Source organism: Homo sapiens, chromosome 6 (assembly GCF_000001405.40).
Source record: "Homo sapiens chromosome 6, GRCh38.p14 Primary Assembly".
NCBI classification, from domain to species: domain Eukaryota; kingdom Metazoa; phylum Chordata; class Mammalia; order Primates; family Hominidae; genus Homo; species Homo sapiens.
This window is the reverse complement of record NC_000006.12, coordinates 127,341,799-127,363,870: the sequence shown is the minus strand read 5'-3', so window position 1 is coordinate 127,363,870 and position 22,072 is coordinate 127,341,799. Positions and strand designations below refer to the sequence as shown.

General features: G+C 41.2%; 1 protein-coding gene and 2 pseudogenes across 11 annotated transcripts in view, besides 2 other annotated features; 1 reads left to right on the top strand and 2 right to left on the bottom strand.

Annotated features, from left to right (window-relative positions):
- Positions 414-1,385, bottom strand: RPL5P18 (ribosomal protein L5 pseudogene 18; annotated as a pseudogene).
- YWHAZP4 (tyrosine 3-monooxygenase/tryptophan 5-monooxygenase activation protein zeta pseudogene 4) lies at positions 5,016-8,136 on the bottom strand (annotated as a pseudogene).
- Positions 18,356-19,229: an enhancer, noted in NCBI's record as "H3K27ac-H3K4me1 hESC enhancer chr6:127665787-127666660 (GRCh37/hg19 assembly coordinates)". NCBI's record gives its function as "activates a minimal SCP1, AML or CMV promoter by ChIP-STARR-seq in naive H9 embryonic stem cells {active_cell/tissue: H9 hESC(naive)}" and the evidence as "EXISTENCE:reporter gene assay evidence [ECO:0000049][PMID:30033119]".
- Positions 20,104-20,977: an enhancer, noted in NCBI's record as "H3K27ac hESC enhancer chr6:127664039-127664912 (GRCh37/hg19 assembly coordinates)". NCBI's record gives its function as "activates a minimal SCP1, AML or CMV promoter by ChIP-STARR-seq in primed H9 embryonic stem cells {active_cell/tissue: H9 hESC(primed)}" and the evidence as "EXISTENCE:reporter gene assay evidence [ECO:0000049][PMID:30033119]".
- Positions 20,262-22,072, top strand: part of ECHDC1 (ethylmalonyl-CoA decarboxylase 1) — a 54,898-nt gene continuing 53,087 nt past the window's right edge. For 7 of the 11 annotated variants that reach the window (NM_001105545.2, NM_001105544.2, NM_018479.4 and 4 more), the window contains exon 1: positions 20,262-20,535. Coding sequence is in view for 3 of the 11 variants with exons in the window: in NM_001139510.2 (NP_001132982.1) it covers positions 21,500-21,515 (16 nt within the window). In the remaining 8 variants the exon portion in view is untranslated. Of the gene's footprint in view, positions 20,536-21,463; positions 21,516-22,072 lie in introns of those variants that run through there. The other 4 variants (NM_001139510.2, XM_047419071.1, XM_047419072.1 and 1 more) reach the window with 1 other exon arrangement.

Sequence of the window (22,072 nt, the reverse complement as noted above, 5' to 3'; positions counted from 1 at the left end):
CTGTGCACCTGCAGGCCCAACACCACATGGAAGCCACCAAAGCTTGGGGATAGCATCCTCTGAAGCAATGGCCCCGAACTGTACCTTGACCCCTTTTAGCCACAGCTGGAGTTGGAGTGGCTGACATACAGTGTGCCAGATCCTCAGGCTGCAGAGGAGCAGGACCCTGGGCCTAGCCCAGGAAACCATATTTCCTTCCTAGGCCTTTGGGCCTGTGATGTAAGGGTTTGCTGTGAAGATCTCTGACATGCCCTGGAGACATTTCCCCATTGTCTTGGCTATTAACATTCAGCTCCTCATTACTTATACAAATTTCTGCAGCTTGCTTAAATTCCTCCCAGAAAATGGGTTTTTCTTTTCTACCATATAGTTAGGCTGCAAGTTTTCCAAACTTTTATGCTCTGCTTCCCTTTTTTCTGTCCATAAGTTTATTCTCTTTATCTGAAAAACCCTCACAGAAAAGTGGTTTAGCTCTCAGCAGTCTGCTCCTGAGCTCTGAGGAAGTCTGCCCTCTTTTGAGCTACCCAATCTTTCTTCTGAGCAAGGGATATTTTGGGAAAGTTCTACCTCTTCTTTTTAACTTCTTTCTTGGACTTCTTTTTGTAGACTGGATTTTCTCATATAGCAGCATGAGTTTTCTTATATATTTCCATCATGTCTGGAGTTATGCTGTTCTTTACGTACTGAAAGAACTGTTTCTTGTTAGGATCTTCATCTCCTTCCATTAAGTAGTGCATGTAATCTGCAACTTTCTGGCCCATGATGTACTTCTGGTGTACTTCTGCATTAAATTCTTTGCTTTCAGAATCATAACCAGGGAATCGTTTGGTACTGTGAGGGATAGACAAGCCTTCATCCACAGTTCCCTTCAGGGCACCAAAAACTTGATTGCCAGTGGTAGTTCTGGCAAGGCTTGCATCCAAATAGTAGGTAAAGGCACCTGGCTGACCATCAATGCTTTCCACATTGTATTCATCACCAGTCTTCTCCACTTGGCTTTCATAGATCTTGTCCACTTCAAACCTATTGAGAAGCCTGCGGGCTAGCAGCAGGCCAGTACAATATGCTGCAGCATAATTTGTCAGGCCAACATTCACACCATATTTTGGCAGTTTGTGCGCATATGCTGCGCAGACTATCATATCCCCCTCTATACGGACATAAGCAATCTGACAAATGATACGTCTTTTTGTTACATGAACTATCATCCTGTATTTGGGTGTGTTGTATTTATTTTTATCCTGTATCACCAAGCATTGCTGAGAATAATAATCATTTTTACCCTCTCATCGTCTTCTAAATTTCACTTGGTATCTCTTAAAGTAGGCCTTATTGTTAACAACTTTAATAAACCCCATCCTGCAGAACAGAGACCTCTGCTTCCCTTTTAAACATAAGTTCCAACTTTTTTTTTTTCTTTTTTTTTTGAGACAGAGTCTGGCTCTGTCGCCCAGGCTGGAGTGCAGTGGCGCAATCTCGGCTCACGGCAAGCTCCGCCTCCCAGGTTCGCACCGTTCTCCTGCCTCAGCTTCCTGAGTAGCTGGGACTACAGGCGCCCACCACCACACCTGGCTAATTTTAGTAGAGACAGGTTTCACCATGTTAGCCAGGATGGTCTCGATCTCCTGACCTCGTGATCCACCTGCCTTGGCCTCCCAAAGTGCTGGGATTACAGGCATGAGCCACTGCGCCCAGCCTAAGTTCCAAGTTTGAACCACGTGTTTGTGAGTGCATATAGCTGAATGCTTTCAGAATCAGCCAGGCCACCTCTTAAATGCTTTGCTGCTTAGAAATTTCTTCCACCAGATACCCTAAATCATCTCTCTCAAGTTCAAAGTTCCACAGATCTGTAGGGCAGAGGCAAAATGCTGCCTGTATCTTTGCTAAAGCACAGCATAAGTAACCTTTGCTCCATTTCCCAAAAGGTTCCTCATCTCCATCTAAAACTGTCAGAGGCTTTTGAGCAAAGTGACTCCATTTTGAGTGAGGGCTGGGAAAATGAGGCTGAGACTTGCTGGGCTACATTTCCAGAAAATTAGACATTCCTAGCTTCTAGATGTTTATGGCTAAGGGAACACATTTATGATGTTTACTGAAACAGACCCAGACTTGGGAGTGTCCAGATATCCTGATATCTGGAGAATAAGGACATTCCCAATTTTGCTATAAAGATAACAATATTGATTCTTGCAAAATATAGTAATTAAGAAAATTAATCCTTTATCACAAACCCTTGTAGCAGAGCACATCTCCCCAAGCACTATTTTTATCCTATAAATATACAAGCATTGTACCTAGGGTGGATGCATTCCTCTTCTTACTTTCAGGAACATCCTACTCTGTCTGTGGAGTAGCTGTCCTTTCACTGCTTTACTTTCTTAATAAATGTGCTTTTACTTTGCACTGTGGAATAACCCTGAATTCTTTCTTGCATGAGATCCAAGAACCCTCTCTTGGGGTCTGGATCAGGACCCCTTTCCAGTAACAAAACCACATCAGCCTGGACTTCATTGTCTATATCACTGTCAGCACTTTGGTCAAAACCATTTAATAAGTCTCTAAGAAGTTCCAAACTTTCCCATGTCTTTCTGTCTTCTTCTGAGCCCTCCAAACTATTCCAACCTCTACCTGTTACCCAGTTCTAAAGTCACTTCAACATTTTCAGGTTATCTTTATAGCATTACCGCACTCCTAGTACCAATTCTCTGTAGTAGTCAATTTTCACACTGCTATAAAGATATTTACCTGAGACTGAGTAATTTATAAACAAAAAGAAGTTTAATTGACTCACAGTTCTGCATGGCTTTGGAGGCCTTAGGAAGCTTACGATCATGGAGAAAGGTGAAGGGGAAGCAGATGCCTTCTTCACAAGGTGGCAGGAGAGACCTGGTGAGTGCAGAAAAAACTCCCACTTTTAAAACCATCAGATCTTGTGAGAACTCCCTAACTATCACAAGAACAGCATGGGAGAAACCACCTCCATGATCCAATCACCTCCCACCAGGTCCCTCTCTTGACATGTGGGGATTACAATTTAAGATGAGATTTGGGTGGGGACATGGACCCAAACCCATATCACATCCTAATCTTGTTTATTTCCTTCCTTCTGCTTGCTTTAGATTTAGTTGACTGTTTTGTTTTCAGTGTCTTTAAATTGGAGGTCTTATTATTGATTGGAGATTTTTTTCTTTTTTTAATAGATATTTACAGCTATAAATTCCTCCTTTAACCATTGTTTTAGCCATATCCCATATTTTTTTTGTTGTGTTGGGTTTTTGTTTTCATTCATTTCAAAGACAGTCTTTTTTTCCTTCTGGCTTCTTAAGCTATAATGACAAAAATTGTATGTATTTATGGTGTACAATGTGATGTTTTAATATATGTATACACTGTGAAATGTTTAAACCAAAGTAATCAACATATTTAGCACTGCATATATTTATCACTTTTTTAGTGGTGACAGCATTTAAAATATACTCTCTTAGCAATTTTCAAGTATACATTATTAACTATGGTCACCATGCTGTACAATAGATCTCCATAACTTATTCATCCTAATTGAAATATTGTACCTTTAGACCAACATCTCTACATTTTCTTCCACCTCATCCCCACCGTAGCCCCTGGTAACTACTATTTTACTCTCTGCTTCTATGAGTTGAACTTTTTTGGATTCTGCATATAAGTAATATCATACAGTATTGTCTTTCTCTGCCAGGATTATTTCAGTTAGCATAATGTTGCCAAGTTCCCTCATGTTGTTGAAAATAACAGGATTTTCTTATTATTTAAGCCTAAATACTATTCTATTGTACATATATACCACATCTTCTTTATCCATTCATCCCTGAATGGACATTTAGGTTGATTCCATATCTTAGTTATTGTGAATGATGCTACAATGCACATGAAGGTGCAGATATCTCTTTGACATACTGATTCTATTTCCTTTGAATAAAGAAAATAAGGCCGGGTCCGGTGGCTCACGCCTGTAATCCCAGCACTTTGGGAGGCCGAGGCGGGTGGATCACCAGAGGTCAGGAGCTCGAGATCAGCCTGAACAACATGGGGAAACCCCGTCTCTACTAAAAGTACAAAAATTAGCTGGGCGTGATGGTGGGCAACTGTAGTCCCAGCTACTCGGGAAGCTGAGGCAAGAGAATCGCTTGAATCTGGGAGGCGGAGGTTGCAGTGAGCCGAGATCATGCCACTGCACTCCAGCCTGCACGATAAGAGCGAGACTCCGTCAAAAAAAAAAAAAAAGAAAATACATTTTATTTCCTTTTGTGTATATACTATAGGTTTTTTAAAACTCAGAAGTAAAAATGCTGGATCAGGTGGGGCGCAGTGGCTCACACCTGTAATCCCAGCAGTTTGGGAGGCTGAGGCAGGCGGATCACCTGAGGTCAGGAGTTCGATACCAGCCTCAACATGGAGAAACCCCATCTCTACTAGAAATACAAAATTAGCCAGGCGTGGTGGTGCATGCATGTAATCTCAGCTACTCGGGAGGCTGAGGCAGGAGAATTGCTTGAACCTGGGAAGGTGGAGGCTGCAGTGAGCTGAGATCGTGCCATTGTGTTCCAGCCTGGGCAACAAGAGCAAAACTCCATCTCAGAAAAAAAAAAAAAAAAAAGGGCTGGATCATATGATGATTCTATTTTTAATTTTTTCATGAACTTCCATATATTGTTTTTCATATGGCTGTTCTAATTTACATTCCCACCAACAGTGTATAAGAGTTTCATTTTCTCCACATCTTTGCCAACACTTGTTATTTTTTGTGTTTTTGATGATAGCCATTCTAACAGGTGTGGGGTGATAGATTCTTGTGGTTTTGATTTTCATTTCACTGATGATTAGCAATGTTGAGCATTTTTTCATATACATGTCAGCCATTTGTATGTTTTCTTTAGAGAAAAGTCTTTTCAAGACCTTAGCTCATTTTAAAATCAGATTACTTGCTATCTTGCTATTATTTGATTTCCTTATATACTAGAATTTTTTTGGGGGGTGGATTTCAGTTTCTCACCCATATCATCAAGACTCAATGCCTCCCGTCATCAATATTTATTGAGCATTTACACTGTACAAGGCACAATAGAACATACAGAAAACATTGTCCCTGCTCTTGAGAAGCTTACATTCTAAAAAGGTGGAGAAAAGAAGCTTACATTCTAAAGAGGTGTAGAAAAAATACGCCTCTTTTAAAATGGCATTTTTGTTTGGTGTTTTCTGCAAAGTACTGAGGAAATATTTTGTAAAGTGTCTTTGGGTATAACTTAGTCCCATCATTATTTAGAGAATAGAGGAAGAGAAAGAGAAAGGATTTGAAAGACAGACAATGACAGGCCATTCAGGATACACAAGGTTTTAAAGGGAGATAAACACAATCTAATCAACCAAGGAGAGATTTGTTGCAGTAAATAGGATGAGGGAAATAGTTTGTGGGATGCAAGCAAAGGAAGCAGGGTGTCTTAGACATTGAGTGGAGCCAGAAAGATCATGCGGCCTTTTTCCAAGTACATGGCCACCAAGTAGGAATGGTTGGTGACAAGACAGAAGGCTAAAAAAGGAAGGTAATCTTGTGCCACCTGACAAATAGAAAGAATAAAGGAACAAAATCGAAGGCAGGCTCTAAGAGTATGAAGAAATTCTTAAAAACCAAAAAGTGATTGGAAGCACAAAACTTATAGATAATGCTACCCCATGTCATGATGGGCCAAGAACATTGTGCCTTCCTAAGTTAGAAAATGCCATATACCAAAATTTAAACGGAACATATTACTTTTTTTTCCCAATCAATCTCCCCCTCTCCCAGTAAAAACAGGAACTCATTTTTTTCAGGGTGGGAAGGAGGAGACGGGATAATGGGACATGGTTGGAAACAGTAGTTATATTAGTAGAATTTTTGTTATTATGATAAACTTCGTGTTTAAACTTGACAAAAGCCCATTAGCTGCCAAGAAGGAATAAGGAATAAATTTCAAAAAATATACAATTTCCTTTAGAGAAGTTTCAGAACCAAAAGACTAATTTACATGAAAAGCTGTAGAGAAAGTAGTTGAAAAGTGCATTCATAAAACTTTTATTCCACTGACATGAATTTAATACACATGTTCTTAACAATTGTGCTTGGACTGTTCTTGAAAATTTCATAAGACATTAAACAAAGCTAGCCATCATCTCAAGTTATTTCCCTGTTAACTATTTTTACAGCACACGCATGTTAGGCAAGTATCAAGAAAAACCACAAAAGCAAAAAAACCTAAAAAAAGTTAAATACATGTTTTTTTTTTGTTGTTGTTGTTTTACTGCTGTGCTTGATATACATGTAGTAATGAACACCAAGCAATTCGTTTTTCCTGCATCTTTACTTTTACATTTGTTCTTAGGTTGCCTAAAACATTTAAATACAAATAAAATGAGTGTAATAAAAATGATGAAAGCTAACAGCAGGTAACTTTACAAATAATGAAATGTGAACCGTTTCTGCCCTTATTCAGAGTAAAATGGGTCACAACTTTGTCTAAAGGAACACTTCTGCAGCCGTAGTCAAAGGTGTGCACATTGAGATTGAGTATTCCACAGCTATACATGGTTTAACACGTGGTATCCATGGGATATCTGTTTCTACCACAGCCTTGTAAGTGCTCCAAACCTTAACGTACCCACAATTACTACACCTGTAACTGGAACCAATGATCTCTTTTATTCCCCACTAGGACAAACCAATATGTACGCAGTTTTCTCTGCTTAGACATGGAAGCAGTTTTAACACTGGCCCCTGTGAAGCCACAATGTACTAAAAGTACTATGCCAAACATTTATAACTTGTATAAAAATTCCACATCCCCATAGTGTCCACCTCGAGATGAAAACAGGTAACTCCCTAAATGTTAACTGGCTCTACTCCCCTAATATTAAACATAAAAACCACATGGGAAATATAGAAATTCAAATAGAAGTAACATAAACCTCTCATAAATTGTAAACAAAAAACTATCTGTGGGACAGCATAGATGACAAATGGTCTACTATGTAAATTTTAAAATGAGGCAGATAAAAGTTGGAAGGCGGGTTAATTTTCACCTCCTTCTCCTGCTTCAGCTTTGTCTCCTTGGGTATCCGATGTCCACAATGTCAAGTTGTCTGTCAGTAACTGCATTATTAGCGTGTTGTCTTTGTATGACTCTTCACTTAATATATCAAGTTCAGCAATGGCTTCATCAAAAGCTGTCTTTGCAAGAGAACAGGCTTGCCTCCCTCCCTCCCTCCCTTCCTTCCGTCCTTTCAGATGGAGTCTTGCCCTGTCACCCAGGCTGGAGTGCAATGGCATGATCTTGGCTCACTGCATCCTCCACCTCCCGGGTTCAAACAATTCTCCTGCCTCAGCCTCCCAAGTAGCTGGGATTACAGGTGCCCACCAACACGCCCCACTAATTTTTGTATTTTTAGTAGAGACGGGGTTTCACCAGGTTGGCCAGGATGGTCTCAAACTCCTGACTTCGTGATCCACCTGCCTCGGCCTCCCAAAGTGCTGGGATTACAGGCGTGAGCCACTGGTCCTGGCCAAGGGCAGGCTTTCCCTGGGGAGTTCAGAGGAGTAAATCCAGTCTGATAGCATGTGTTGGTTGCATTTCCTTTTTGCTGATTTCAAAAGCTTCTTGGTATGCTTGTTGTGACTGATCCACAATCCCTTTCTTGTCATCACCAGCAACGACCTCAGCCAAGTAACGGTAGTAATCTCCTTTCATTTTCAAATAGAAGACTTTGCTCTCTGCTTGTGAAGCACTGGGGATCAAGAACTTTTCCAAAAGAGACAGTACATCATTGCAGATATCTCTTAGCTCTGTCTGAATTTTCTCTCTGTATTCTCGAGCCATCTGCTGTTTTTTCTCAGCACCTTCCGTCTTTTGTTCAATACTTGAGACAACACTCCAAAATGACCTATAGGCGCCTACATTTTTAGAAGCAACTGAGAGAAGTTTCCTCTCCTCATTGGATAATTTCAGCTCCTTGCTCAGTTACAGATTTCATGCAGGCTGCGATGTCATCATATCTCTCAGCCTACTGGGCCAGTTCGGCCTTCTGAACCAGCTCATTTTTATCCATGACTGGATGTTCTGTTTCTGGAGTGGGTGGTGATGGCAGACCAACAAGGGCTCAGCAGTCTCTGGGCGGCAGCGGTGGTGGCAGTCAGGGGCTCGATTTCCTTATAAACTAGAATATTTACTCCTTATAAGAAGTATGGTTTGCAAATATTGTCTCCCATTCCATAGCTGGTCTATTCACTCTATTGAGCCTTTGTTGTGCAGATAGATGCTTTTTATTTTGATGCAGTCCCATTTGTCTACTTTTGCTTTTGTTGCCTGTCCTTTGGGGTTATATTTTTTAAAAACCACAACCCAGACCCATATCAAGAAGCCTTTTTTCTTTTTCTGTTTTTTTTTCTCTTAGTTTTACAGTTTCATGTCTTACATTTAAGTATTTAATCCATTTTAATTTGATTTTTGGTTATGGTATGAGATAAGGGTCCAATTTTATTTTCTGTATGTGATTATCTAGTTGTCCCAACACCATTTATTAAAGAGAGTGCCCTTTTCCCATTGTGTCTTCTTGGTATCTTTGTCAAAGATCAATTGACCAAAAATGTGTAGATTCATTTCTGGGCTCTCAATTCTGTTGTACTGGTTTACATGTGCATTTTTATATCAGCGCCATGCTGTTTTGATTATGTTAGCTTTTTAGTACATTTTGAAATAAAGTAGTGTGATGCCTCTTGCTTTATTCCTTTTTGCCTATGATTGCTTTGGCTATTTGAGGCTTTCGTGGTTCCATACAAATTTTAGGATTGTTTTTCCTATTTCTGTGAAAAAATGCCATTGGAATTTTGATATGAATTGTATTGAATCTCCTGATTACTCTGAGTAGTATGAACATTTTAACAATATTAATATCTCCAATCCATGAAAGTGAAATATGTTTCCATTTACATGTGTCTTGTTCAACAGCATCCATCAATGTTTTATCATTTTCAGTGTACAGATATTTCATTTCCTTGGTTAAACTTATTCCTAAGTATTTGATTCTTTCTGATGCTATTGCAAATGGGATTGTGTTGTTAATTTCTTTTTATTGATAGCTCATTGTTAGTGAATAAAAATGCAACTGATTGGCCAGGTGCAGTGGCTCACGCCTAAGATCCCAGCACTTTGGGAGGCCAAGGTGGGTGGATCACAAGATCAGGAGATCGAGACCATCCTGGCTAACATAGTGAAACCCTGTCTCTACTAAAAAATACAAAAAATTAGCCAGGCATGGTGGCACACACCTGTAGTCCCAGCTACTCAGGAGGCTGAGGCAGGAGAATTGCTTGAACCCAGGAGGGAGGTTGCAGTGAGCTGAGATCGCACTGCTGCACTCCAGCCTGGCAACAGAGTGAGACCCCGTCTCAAAAAAAAAAAAAAAAAAAAAAAAGAACTGATTTTTGCATGTTGATTTTTATTCTGTAACTTAATTGAATCTGTGTGTTAGTTCTAAGAGTTATTTGGTGGAGTTGTTAGGGTTTTCTATATACAAGATTATGTTATCTGCAAACAGACAATTTCTCTACTTCTTTTCCAATCTGCTTGTCTTTTTTCCCCCCATAATTGCTGTGGCTAGGACTTCCTGTATTATATTGAATAGAAGGGGCAAGAGTGGACATCCTTATCTTGTTCCTGAACTTAGAAGAAAAACTATCAGTTTTTCACTGTTTAATACGACATATTAGCTGTGAACTTGTCACATGTGGTCTTCATTATGTTGAAATACACTCCTTCTGCTATGGTTTGAATATTTTTTCCCTCCAAAACTCATGGTGAAATTTTATTTTATTTTATTTTGAGATGGAGTCTCGCTCTGTCACCCAGGCTGGAGTGCAGTGGCGTGATCTCGGCTCACTGTAAACTCCATCTCCCAGGTTCACACCATTTTTCTGGCTCAGCCTCCCAAGTAGCTGGGACTACAGGCACCTGCCACCATGCCTGGCTAATTTTTTGTATTTTTAGTAGAGACGGGGTTTCACCGTGCTAGCCAGGATGGTCTCGATCTCCTGACTTCGTGATCCACCTGCCTCAGCCTCCCAAAGTGCTGGGATTACAGGCGTGAGCCACCCCGCCCAGGCCCTCATGGTGAAATTTAACCTCACTGTGGCAGTACTGAGTGGTGGGGCAGAGCCCTCATGAATAGACTAATTCATTTATCAATTAATGGGTTAACGGATTTTCATGGGAGTAAGACTGGTGGCTTCATAAAAAAAGGAAGAGAGATCTGAGCTAGCATCTTCAGCTCCTCACCATGCGATGTTCTATGTTGGTTAATGACTCTACAGAGTTCCTATCAGCAAGAAGGCACTCACCAGATAGACCACCCTGACCTTGGACTTCTCAGCCTCCATAACTGTGAGAAATAAATTTCTTTTCTTCATAAATTACCCAGTTTCAGTTTCTGTTATAAGCAAGAGAAAACAAACCAAGACACCTTCCATACCTAATTTGTTGAGACAGTATCAGGTATATTGGCTTATACTTTTTTTCCTTCCCTGGCTTTTTTATCAAAGTAATGCTGGCCTCATAAAATGAGTTTGGAAGTCTTGTCTTCTCTTTAATTTTCTGACAGAGTAAGAGCAATTAGCATTAATTCTTCTTTAAGTGTTTGGTAGAATCACTGAAGCCATTTTGTCCCGGATTTTTCTGTTGGTAGCTTTTTGATTATAAATTTAACCTTCATTATTGTTCTGTTCAAATGTTCTCTTTCTTCATGATTTAATCTTGGTAGATTGTGTATTTCTAGAAATTTATCTATTTCTTCTAGGTTACCCAATATATTGTTGTATAATTGTTTATAATAGTCTCTTAGGATCCTTTATATTTCTATGTCCGTTATAATGCTTTCTTTCATTTATAATTCTGAGTCTTCTCTCATTTTTTTCATAGTTTAGCTAAAGGTTTGTCAATTTTTGTTTATCTTTTCAAAAAACCAATTGTTTCTTAGATTTTTTTCTGTTATTTTTATCATCTCCATTTCCTTTATTTCTGCTCTGATCTTTATTATTTCCTTTTTTCTGTAACTTTAGGCTTAGCTTCTTCTTTTTCTAGTTCCCCGTGGTGTCAAGATAGGTTGTTCGAGATCTTCCTCTTTTCTTAATATAGGCATTCATTTGTCTCTATAAACTCCCCTCTTAGAACTATGTTTGTTGTATCCCATAAATTTTTTTTTCATTTTACTTTGTCTCAATATTATTTTTTCTACTGTAAAATTTCTTTTGTAACCCATCAGTAGTGTCTTGTTTAAGTTTCATATATTTGCAAATTTTCCAATTTGCCTCATTACTGATTTCTAGTTTTATATCACTGTGTTTGAAAAAGTTACTTGACATGGCTGGGCACCGGGGCTCACGCCTGTAATCCCAGCACTTTGGGAGGCCGAGGTGGGTGGATCACCTGAGGTCAGGAGTTTGAGACCAGCCTGGCCAACATGGCGAAACCCCGTATCTACTAAAAATACAAAAATTAGCCAGGTGTGGTGGCAGACAACTGTAATCCCAGCTAACTTGGAAGGCTTAGGCAGGAGAATCACTTGAATTTGGGAGGCGGAGGTTGCAGTGAACCAAGATCACACCACTTCACTCCAGCCTGGACGGAAGAGTGAAACTGTCTCAAAAAAAAAAAAGGCCGGCACAGTGGCTCATGCCTGTAATCCCAGCACTTTGGGAGGCCGAGGCGGGCGGATCACGAGGTCAGGAGATCGAGACCATCCTGGTTAACACGATGAAAACCCGTCTCTACTAAAAATACAAAAAATTAGCCTGGCGTGGTGGCAGGCGCCTGTAGTCCCAGCTACTCGGGAGGCTGAGGCAGGAGAATGGTGTGAACCCGGGAGGCGGAGCTTGCAGTGAACCGAGACTGCGCCACTGCACTCCAGCCTGGGCGACAGAGGGAGACTCCATCTCAAAAAAAAAAAAAAAAAAAAAAAAAATATATATATATATATATATATATATACACACACACACACACACACACACACACACACACACACACACAGTCTGACATAAGTTTAGCATCCCTGTTGTCTTTTGGTTACTGATTACACAGAATGTTTTTTTCATCTCTTTATTTTCAGACTCTGTGTGTCCTTAAAGCTAAAATGAGACTCTTAAAGACTGAGTATATAGTTGAATTTTATTTGTTTTTGCATCCATTCAACCACTCTATTTTTGATTGGAGAACTTAATTTACATTTAAAGTAATTATTGATAGGTAAGGAATTACTATTTTCTTTTTGACTGTTTTGTAATTTATTTATTCCATTCTTCCTCTCTTGATGTCTTCCTATGTGATTTTTTTTGGGGGGTGGGGAGGGGGATGGAGTCTCACTCTTTCGCCCAGGCTGGAGTGCAGTGGTGGGATCTTGGCTCACTGCAATCCCTACCTCCTGGGTTCAAGCAGTTCTCCTGACTCAGCCTCCTGAATAGCTAGGATTACAAGCACATGACACCATGCCTGGCTAATTTTTGTAGTTTTAGTAAAGGTGGGGTTTCACCATGTGGGCCAGGTTGGTCTCGAACTCCTGATCTCAGGTGATCCACCCGCCTCGGCCTCCCAAAGTGCTGAGATTACAGGCGTTGAGCCACCGCACCTGGCCCTTCCTATATAATTTATTTATTTTTTTTATATGGTAGACTGCTTTTCTTTTTCTTCATATTTTGTGTATCTATTACAGTTTTTTACTTTGGAGTTATCATGAGACTTACACGAAAGATCATAGTTATAAGTCTATTTTAAGCTCGAACAATTTAACTTTTTCTGCATACAAAAGTATACACTTTAACTTCTCCTACATCTTATGCTATTGGTGTCACAATTTACAACTTTTATATATTGTGTTTCCATGAACAAATTATTATAATTACTTTTCTTTTAATTTTACACTAGAGTTAAAAGTGACTTATGCATCACTGTTATAGAATTAGAGTATTCTGAATTTAACTATGTTCTTACTTTTACACTGAGTTTTATACTTTCCTGTGTTTTCATATTGTTTTTTAGGGCCCTTTCAACCTGAAGAACACCCTTTAGCATTTCATGTAAGGCAGGTCTATGGGTAAGAATACCTTTTGTTATGTCTGGGAAACTCCCTATTTGTCCTTCATTTCTGAAGGACAGCCTTGCCAGGTATAGTAGTCCTCATTGGCAGTTTATTTCTTTCAGCACCTTGCAGGCCATTCTCTCTTGGCCTGCGAGGTCTCTGCTGAGAAATCTGTTAATAGCCTTATAGAAGTTGCTCTTCTCTTGCAGCTTTTGCATTTCTTTGTCTTTGACTTTAGAAAATTTAATTTCAGTGTGTCTTGGTGAAGATCTCTTTGTATTTAATCTATTTAGGATTTTTTGGCTTTCATGGGTCTGGATGTTTAGTTCCCTCTTCAGATTTGGAAAGCTTTCTGTCATTATGTTTTTCTGCCCCTTTCCCTTTCTCTGCCCCTTCTGGAGCTTCCATAGTGCATTAATTAGTTCACTTGATGGTGACCCTTAAGTCTTACAGATATTCTTTACTCTTTTTTATTCTTTTTCTTTTCTTTTTTCTCCTCTTACTGGGCAATTTTAAATGACCTATTTTTAGGTTAACGGATACTTTCTTCTGCTTGATTTTGTTGTTGGAGCTCTCTGTGGAATTTTTCAGTTCAGTCATTGTGTTTTTTAGCTTCGGAATTTTCCTAGTTCTTTTTATGGTTTCTATCTCTTTGTCAAATTTCTAATTTTGTCTGTTTACTGTTTTCCTAATATTATTTAGCTGCCTATTTGAGCTCTCTTGTAGGTCACTGAGCTTTTCTTTTCTTCTTTTTTTCTTTTTTTTCTGAGAATCTCACTCTGTTGCCCAGGCTGGAGTGCAGTGGTGCAATCTCAGCTCACTGCAACCTCTGCCTTCCAGGTTCAAGTGATTCTCCTGCCTCAGCCTCCCAGGTAGCTGGGACTACAGGCATGTGCCACCATGCCTGGCTAATTTTTTGTTGTTGTTGTTTGTATTTTTAGTAGAAACAGGGTTTCACTGTGTTAGCCAGGCTGGTGTTGATCTCCTGACCTTGTGATACACCTGCCTCGGCCTCCCAAAGTGCTGGGATTACAGATGTGAGCCACCACGCCCGGCAGTCACTGAGCTTTTCTAAGAATTATTTCAAATTCTTTTTCAGGATATTCATAGATCTTCATTTCTTTAGGGTTGTTTACTGGTGTTTGGTCCTTTGGTAGTATCATGTTTCCCTGATTATTCCTCTTCCTTGCATTATTGAAATGCGGGCACTCATTCCAGTCTTTATAGACTGGATTCAGCAGGGAATGCTGCTCACATCACCCTATCAAGACTTTGGGTAGGTCATCTGTGGGCTTTATGGGTGGCCTTGCTGCTGGTGCCCTCAGATAGACAGGGCTGGTGACCAGATAGGTAGGTGGGTGTGCTAGGCATCTAGGTCCACAGGGTCTGGCTTGGAGCCTGTGTTCACAGGACAGGGGCCTGCCTAGTACTGAGATGGGCCTGGTGCCTGGGTCCATGGGGACAAAAGTGGAACATCAGTCTAGCAGTCTAGTCTGGTGCTGGGGAAGACCTAAAGCCTGATTCTTCAGAGGCCATCATGGAGGCTGGGTTTGTGGGTGGTAGCTTGTAGGCTAGGCCCTCTGGGGTAGTTCTGGTGCCAGGGTCTACTGGGGTAGACCTGGACCTTGGGTTTGTTGGAGCAGGCCTGGAACCTGGGTTCACTGGAACCTGGGGCTGTAGGGACCAGCAGTCAGTGGACCTAAAGCCTATATCCACTGGTGCCAACCTGGAGACTGGGGCTGTAGGGCCCAACCTGGTGTTGGAGCCTGGTGCCTGAAACTATGGGGACTAACATGGGGAATGGAGTGGGCATAGATCTAGGCGCCATGGAGATTAGCCTAGCATTGGGGTGATCTTGTAGTCTCAGTGCATGGGTATCAGCCTAGAGTCTAGGGCCATGGTAGTCAGCCTGGTGCCAAGTTTCACTGTGGCAGGCCTGGTGCTGGAGTCTGCAGCAAAGCTGGCACTTACCTCACTCTCCTTTCCTCACACGGACCATAAGTCTCAGCTCTGTGCTACCCAGGCTTGGGAAAGGATTGACTCTTTCCTACTATCTTCAATGTGTCTTTTCTTAATTCTCTGCTACATCTAGGTGCTATAATTTCTCATCTGGATTCCTCAGTTCATGTGAAGGTGTCTTCATAAAAGGATAGTGGTTCAGGCCGGGCGTGGTGGCTCACGCTTGTAATCCCAGCACTTTGGGAGGCTGAGGCACGTGGATCACCTGAGGCCAGGAGTTCAAGACAAGCTTGGCCAACATGACAAAACCCCGTTTCTACTAAAAGTACAAAAATTGGCCGGCGTGGTAGCGTGTGCCTGTGATTCCAGCTACTCAAGAGGCTGAGGCAGAGTTGCTTGAACCCAGGAGGCGGAGGTTGCAGTGAGCCAAGATTGCGCCATTGCACTCCAGCCTGGGCAACAAGAGCAAGACTCTGTCTCAAAAAAAAAAAAGGATAGTGGTTCAAATAGATGTTTCTGTGAAGGGACAAGTACTGGGAAGTGCTATACTGCCATCTTTCTGACATCACCCTTCTTCCATTCTAGATAGCCTTTTTGAAAGTAATACTATAGTTTCAACATTTTACCATGTTATTAAGTGTTCTCATTCATTTTGAGAAATCTGAAAACCAAGTATATTTAACTAACAAAACAAACACTACATTCCCCCAAGTTACTACTGATAACTATTAACAGCATGAGATATTCATTCTAGTATTTTTTTCTATGGCATTTTTTAAGAAAAAAATTTAACTACATTCTCAAAAGAAATAAAGAGAGGAAAGAACCGAGGAGGAAAAAAAGAAAGGATGGGAAGGAGGAAAAATAAGGCTAACAAGGCATTTGAACTCAATAAGCTTACATTAATAAAAATTATCATGATAGAATATAATGCAACAATAAATGATATACATTGTGGTATAACATTTTGATATTTCTTTCTCATACCTAGAACTATAACCAATTCAGTCTAAAGCACGTGTTGTTTCAGGGGAAAGATAGCTGTGATTGGGTTACAAATGTTTTCATAAAACTCATACCAGGGACAAGTGAAGAAAATCATAATATCTGAGTCTGGTTTATCTTCTTCCCATCCCCGCTTTTTAGAGTAAAAAGGTATTTTGTGCTTCAGAGAGAAAACCCCTTAAAAACTTATTGCATTGAGTCTAGGCCACAAACAACAGATTGAAAATAGAATACATGATACTCAAAGCTGAAATATATAAAAAAAAAAAAGTAAAATCACATCACACGGTAGTGTTGAAACATTCAAGTGTGTAAATACATGTCGACATCCTTTGTTCAGAATGAGGAAATACTTGAAGTGTAAAAACTTATTACTAATCATTGTTTCTCAATTTTGACTTAAGGGCTATTTGTTCAGAATAAAATATATGGAACTAAGGCCAAGAATTTGTATGTTTACCTAATGTGACTTGTGTTTGCCAATGTTTGAGAACCTCAGTGTTTGTCAAGAGGCCTAGGAATTCATAAACATAACAAAAGTAACTGGCTTTACCTTAACCTAATATGCCAACTCCCAAAATTATGCCAAACTTGCTTTACTTGTCATCATAGCACTTAATACCCCCCAACATTATATATTTTTGTTTCATTTTTGACACATAACAATTTTACTTATTTATGGGATATGGTGATATTTTAATGTTATTTAGCAAAACCATCACCTCATGTATTTACCATTTCTTTGTAGTGAGAACAACCAAAATCTTTTCTAGCCATTTTGAAACAATGTTGTTAACCACAGTCATCCTACTGTGCAATAGACCGCCAGAATTTATTCCTCCTAACTGTAACTTTGTACCCACTGATTAATCTCTTCTCAGCCTCTGATAACCACCATTTTATTTCCCACTTCTATGAGATCAACTTCTTTGGATTCTACACCTGCATGAGATCATGTGATATTTGTCTTTCTGTGCCTGGCTTATTTCACTTAATGTTCTCCAGGTCCATCTATGTTGCCACAAATGACAGGATTTCATTCCTTTTAATGGCTGAATAGTATTCCATTGTATGTATATACCACATTTTCTTTATCCGCTCATCCACTGATGGACACTTAGGTTGATTCCATATCTCGGCTCTTATGAACAGTGCTGCAATAAACATGAGAGTGCAGATATCTCTGCAACATACTGATTTTACTTCCTTCAGATATATACCCAGGCGTGGGATTGTGGGATCATATGGCAGTTTTGTTTTTAATTTTTTGAGGAACCTCTATACTGTTTTCTATAATGGCTAGAGTAATTCAAATTCTTTTGTTTATTTATTATTTTTTTGAGACGGAGTCTCGCTGTGTCACCCAGGCTGGAGTGCAGTGGTGTGATCTCGGCTCACTGCAGCCTCTGCCTCCCAGGTTTAGCTGGGACTACAGGCATGTGCTGCCATGCCTGGCTAATTTTTTTGTATTTTTAGTAGATAAGGGGTTTCAGCATGTGGGCCAGGATGGTCTTGACCTCCTGACCTCGGGATCCGCCCACCTCAGCCTCCCAAAGTGCTGGGATTACAGGCGTGAGCCACTGCATCTGGCCAGTAATTTACATTCTTACCAACAGTGTATAAGTATTTCTCTCCACATATGCATGGGCATGTTATTTTTTGTCTTTTTGATAATAGCCATTCTAACAGGTATGAGGTGATATCTCATTGTGGTTTTGATTTGCATTTCCCCTATGATTATTTTTATTTATTTTTAATTTTTTAAAAATGTATGTATTTGTTTTTGAGAGTCTTGCTCTGTCACCCTGGCTGGAATGCAGTGGTGTGATCATGGCTCACTGCAGCCTCAAGCTCCTGGGCTCCAGTGATCCTCCCACCTCAGGCTCCTGAGTAGCTAGGACTATAGGTGTATGCCACATTGCCCAGCCAATTGTGATTTTTTGTAGAGACAGGGTTCTGCCATGTTGCCCATGGCTGGTCTTGAACTTCTGGGCTCAAGCAATCCACCTGCTTGGCCTCCCAAGGTGTGGGATTACAGGTGTGAGTCACTGTGCCTGGCTGAGCATTTTTTCATATATTTGTTAGTCATCATCATGTTTTCTTTTGAGAAATGTCCATTCAGGCCTTTTGCTCATTTTTAAATTGGATTTTTTTTTTTTTTTTTTTGGCTATTGAGTTGACTTCTTCATATACTCTGGATATTAACCCTTTGTCAGATATATAGTTTGCAAATATTTTCTCCCATTCTGCAGGCTGTCTTTTCACTCCGTTGATTATACATATTATGTATTTACTTATCTTTCATTGTCCACCTACCCCACTATATAGAGTTTAACTTGGATATTTTCCCAAAGTGTTAAAAAGAAAGATGGAAAATGGGAGCCAGAAATAGAAAGCCCACTGAGTACTACAGTTATCACTGAGAAAGAAGAATGAAAGTTATTACTGAAAAATAAAACTGAAGAAACCTCTCAGATGGGCCTGGTGCCTGGGTCCATGGGGACAAAAGTGGAACATCAGTCTAGCAGTCTAGTCTGGTGCTGGGGAAGACCTAAAGCCTGATTCTTCAGAGGCCATCATGGAGGCTGGGTTTGTGGGTGGTAGCCTGTAGGCTAGGCCCTCTGGGGTAGTTCTGGTGCCAGGGTCTACTGGGGTAGACCTGGACCTTGGGTTTGTTGGAGCAGGCCTGGAACCTGGGTTCACTGGAACCTGGGGCTGTAGGGACCAGCAGTCAGTGGACCTAAAGCCTATATCCACTGGTGCCAACCTGGAGACTGGGGCTGTAGGGCCCAACCTGGTGTTGGAGCCTGGTGCCTGAAACTATGGGGACCAACATGGGGAATGGAGTGGGCATAGATCTAGGCGCCATGGAGATTAGCCTAGCATTGGGGTGATCTTGGAGTCTCAGTGAAATGGCTCAGTGATCTTGGAGTCTCATTTTATAACAAACTAGAATTAAATACAGTACTTCTAATAATGACTTCTTCCAATTAGTCCAAACTGGGCTCCCACTTATTCCCTATCATACACATCTCCGTATCGTAAAACTATCCTCCCTGTTCGGCGCGTTGGCACATTCTGTTCCTCCGACTAGAATATTCCCTGTACTTATTCAAATCATACCTATGACCACTGCAGAACTCCAGGAACATGACCATCCCATCTAAACCCCTGCGTTCAGAGACTTGACCAAACTCTAGCAAGCTTTAGCAGCATAAGGCCCTGTGCCCAGGGCGACTGCCTCAGAAAGCTTAACTACGTGATGTAACCAGCACACAACTGATGATAGGTCTCTGACATCCCTTTCTTAGAACGTTTACTAAAGGGCTTGCAATTGTAAAGACTTATTTCTTGCCACTCAGAAGTTCTCTCTCAAGGACCAGAGAGTCATTCCTTTGAAATGTAATCGAGAAGGATAAAATCCTCCGTAGGAGGATAGAATCCTGCGGTAACTGTTAAAACGCGCGCACACACAAACACACAGCTGGCCTAATCACATTTACACTAACAACTCTGTAGGTTCACTTTCTCTACTGAGCGCCCGCATATCCCCTTTCTCCTTTTAAAACGTCCCTTTAAAAATGCCCAGATGATCTCTGCACGAATCGAAATAGAGCTCAGCTCTTTCCTGTCAGTAGTTAACTGAATGTTTTCACCGCTTTAACGTCCAGCTGCGCTTATCTTTGACATCGACTACCTAAGGTCTACCTTTAGTCCCACGACTCTGACAAAATGATCTCAATATTGGTGTAAAATCACCTCCCCTTTCAAGGGTCTTCCAAAGCACTTCCTGTCTGCGGCATACAAAATGTATTGGCACGGAATTTTAAGCTTACTGAGCTTTATAAACACGTCACATTCACACATTCAAGACACACACTGGATATTCGGATAAAAACAAACAAACAAAAAACTGGCTAAATACCCATTCCCCTCAATAACTTGGATAAGATACCTAAAAAAGGTCGACCTTCGGTACCTTTCTGTCTTCTCCCCTCTCGCTATTTGCCTACACTGGCTTCCTCACCTCCACTTTTTCTCACGTTTATCTGAGCGAAAACAAGCACGGTTCGGCAGCCTCCTTTCCCAGCCCTACCTTTGTGCTGCAAAAGCGAAAATTCAAAAGCCAAGTACAATAGGAGACCGCCCACCCTGGCTCCCTCGTGACACGAGGGAGCGCGAAGCGGAGGGCGCCTCGCGGCAGGAGCGGGATTTCCGGGGTCACGGGAACCGGCAGGGGAACGGGATAAAGTTCCCGGAGAAAGGAAAGGAGAGCGTGGGATAGTAAAAGAGAAGACGCGGAGAAGAGGAGAGGACCTACAAGAACGGAGGACAGGGGCGCACGATGGTCCCGGGGGGAGCGGAAACAAAGGCACGCAAAACGGAAAAGCGTGTGTAGGGGAGCGGAAAAGGAAGTCACCACCGTGGCCTGCGACGGTAAGTGGTCGTAAGGGTTGGTCTTAGCGCTTCAGTTTAGTGTTGTCAGTGGGAGAATCCTAAAATGTCGCCGTGGAATGGACTGTACCGCTCGCTTCTCCAAACGTGTCCCAGACGGCGAGCCTCCCCGGCTCCGCGGCTTGTCCCTTGCAAGCGCCGCGCAGGCCTGCCCCGCGCTGGACGTGGAGACGCGGTGCCGAGCGCCACGGGCCGGCTGTGCGCCGGCCGGGGAAAGAGGGCGAGGGGAAGAGATGAATCGGTCTTCCCAGAGCGCGCCGCGAGGTCGCGAGATTACACTTTAAAAAGCATGAGGAGGCTTGCTTTCTACATGCTGATTTAATTTCGGAATACATTCGAGGCCCTGTGCTAAGTTAGGTAATGTTCCCTATAATTGTCTTTTATGTATAAGTTGTCTTGCCTAACTAAAACTTTTCTTACTTGTATCGTGCAGCCAACTTTTCAAGAACGAAAGATGAGCAACTCCTTTCTGGTAGAGGTTCTTTCATTGGAGAATTTTTGAGCTACAATAATCCTTTTAACGCTGCGCACACATACAGGGATTACACGTGTAGGGGATTAAAAACACAGTTAAGTTTAGGTTGAAGGTGCTGTTAAGGACTTCAGGCAACATTAAATCAACACTCAGTTCTTTGCTCTGTTCCACATCTGGGCTCCTGTATAGCAGTTGTTGCTCTAGGTGCTAGAGGTATGCAGAGGAACTGGACAAGGGCAAGGAAAACAAAGGGCTCCTTCTTTAGAAGAGCTAGCATTCTCTTGGAACAGACAAGCTTGTGGTGAGAAGTATATTTGTGAAATCTACGAGGGGAGGGAGCAGCGCAGTAATAGAACGGGCGATCCTTTCTTGATTTTTTATTGGGTTCTGGCCTGAAAGGCGACTGTATAATCAGCTGGGATTCCTGCAATGATTAACATTCCAGGAAGGGAAGCCAGCCTGTGAAGAAGCATGGCATTGAAACAGGGTGAGTTGTGAGGATTATAAACAGGGTAGTTGGAGAGTTGATTTGTGGCCAGATTCTTAAGCCCCTGTTTAGTCTTAAGAATATTATCTTTAGGCACTGCAAATGCCCTCTTGCAGCTAAGACTAATGGGAAGAACTGGTTAAAAAACTAATTACAGCAAAGAGTGAGTGAGAGTGGTGATGAGAGATACAGATGTTCTGAGAGCAGACAATAAGGGGACTTTATGTAGTCCTATGTTAGAGGAGATGATTTGAAGTTACTCTGAGGAAGACAAAAATGTAACAGGTAGATCGCATATGCGAAAGCTTGAGATGGCGAAAAAATCAAAAGGATTTCAGGAACTGAAAGTTGTGCATTTTGGCTGTGTGAGGGAGAGAGTTGTGGGTGGCATGTAATGAACCTTGAAAGGTAGTTTATGTTATGACAGCCTACAACCGAATCAGAACTTTTACAAACAGGCGATATACAGACAGTCTGAAATCAAATGCTTCTGATTTCTATTACGTGCTCTAGGCTAATTGTTTTCTTTTTAAGTATGAGTTTGCGTTAGTCTTCTG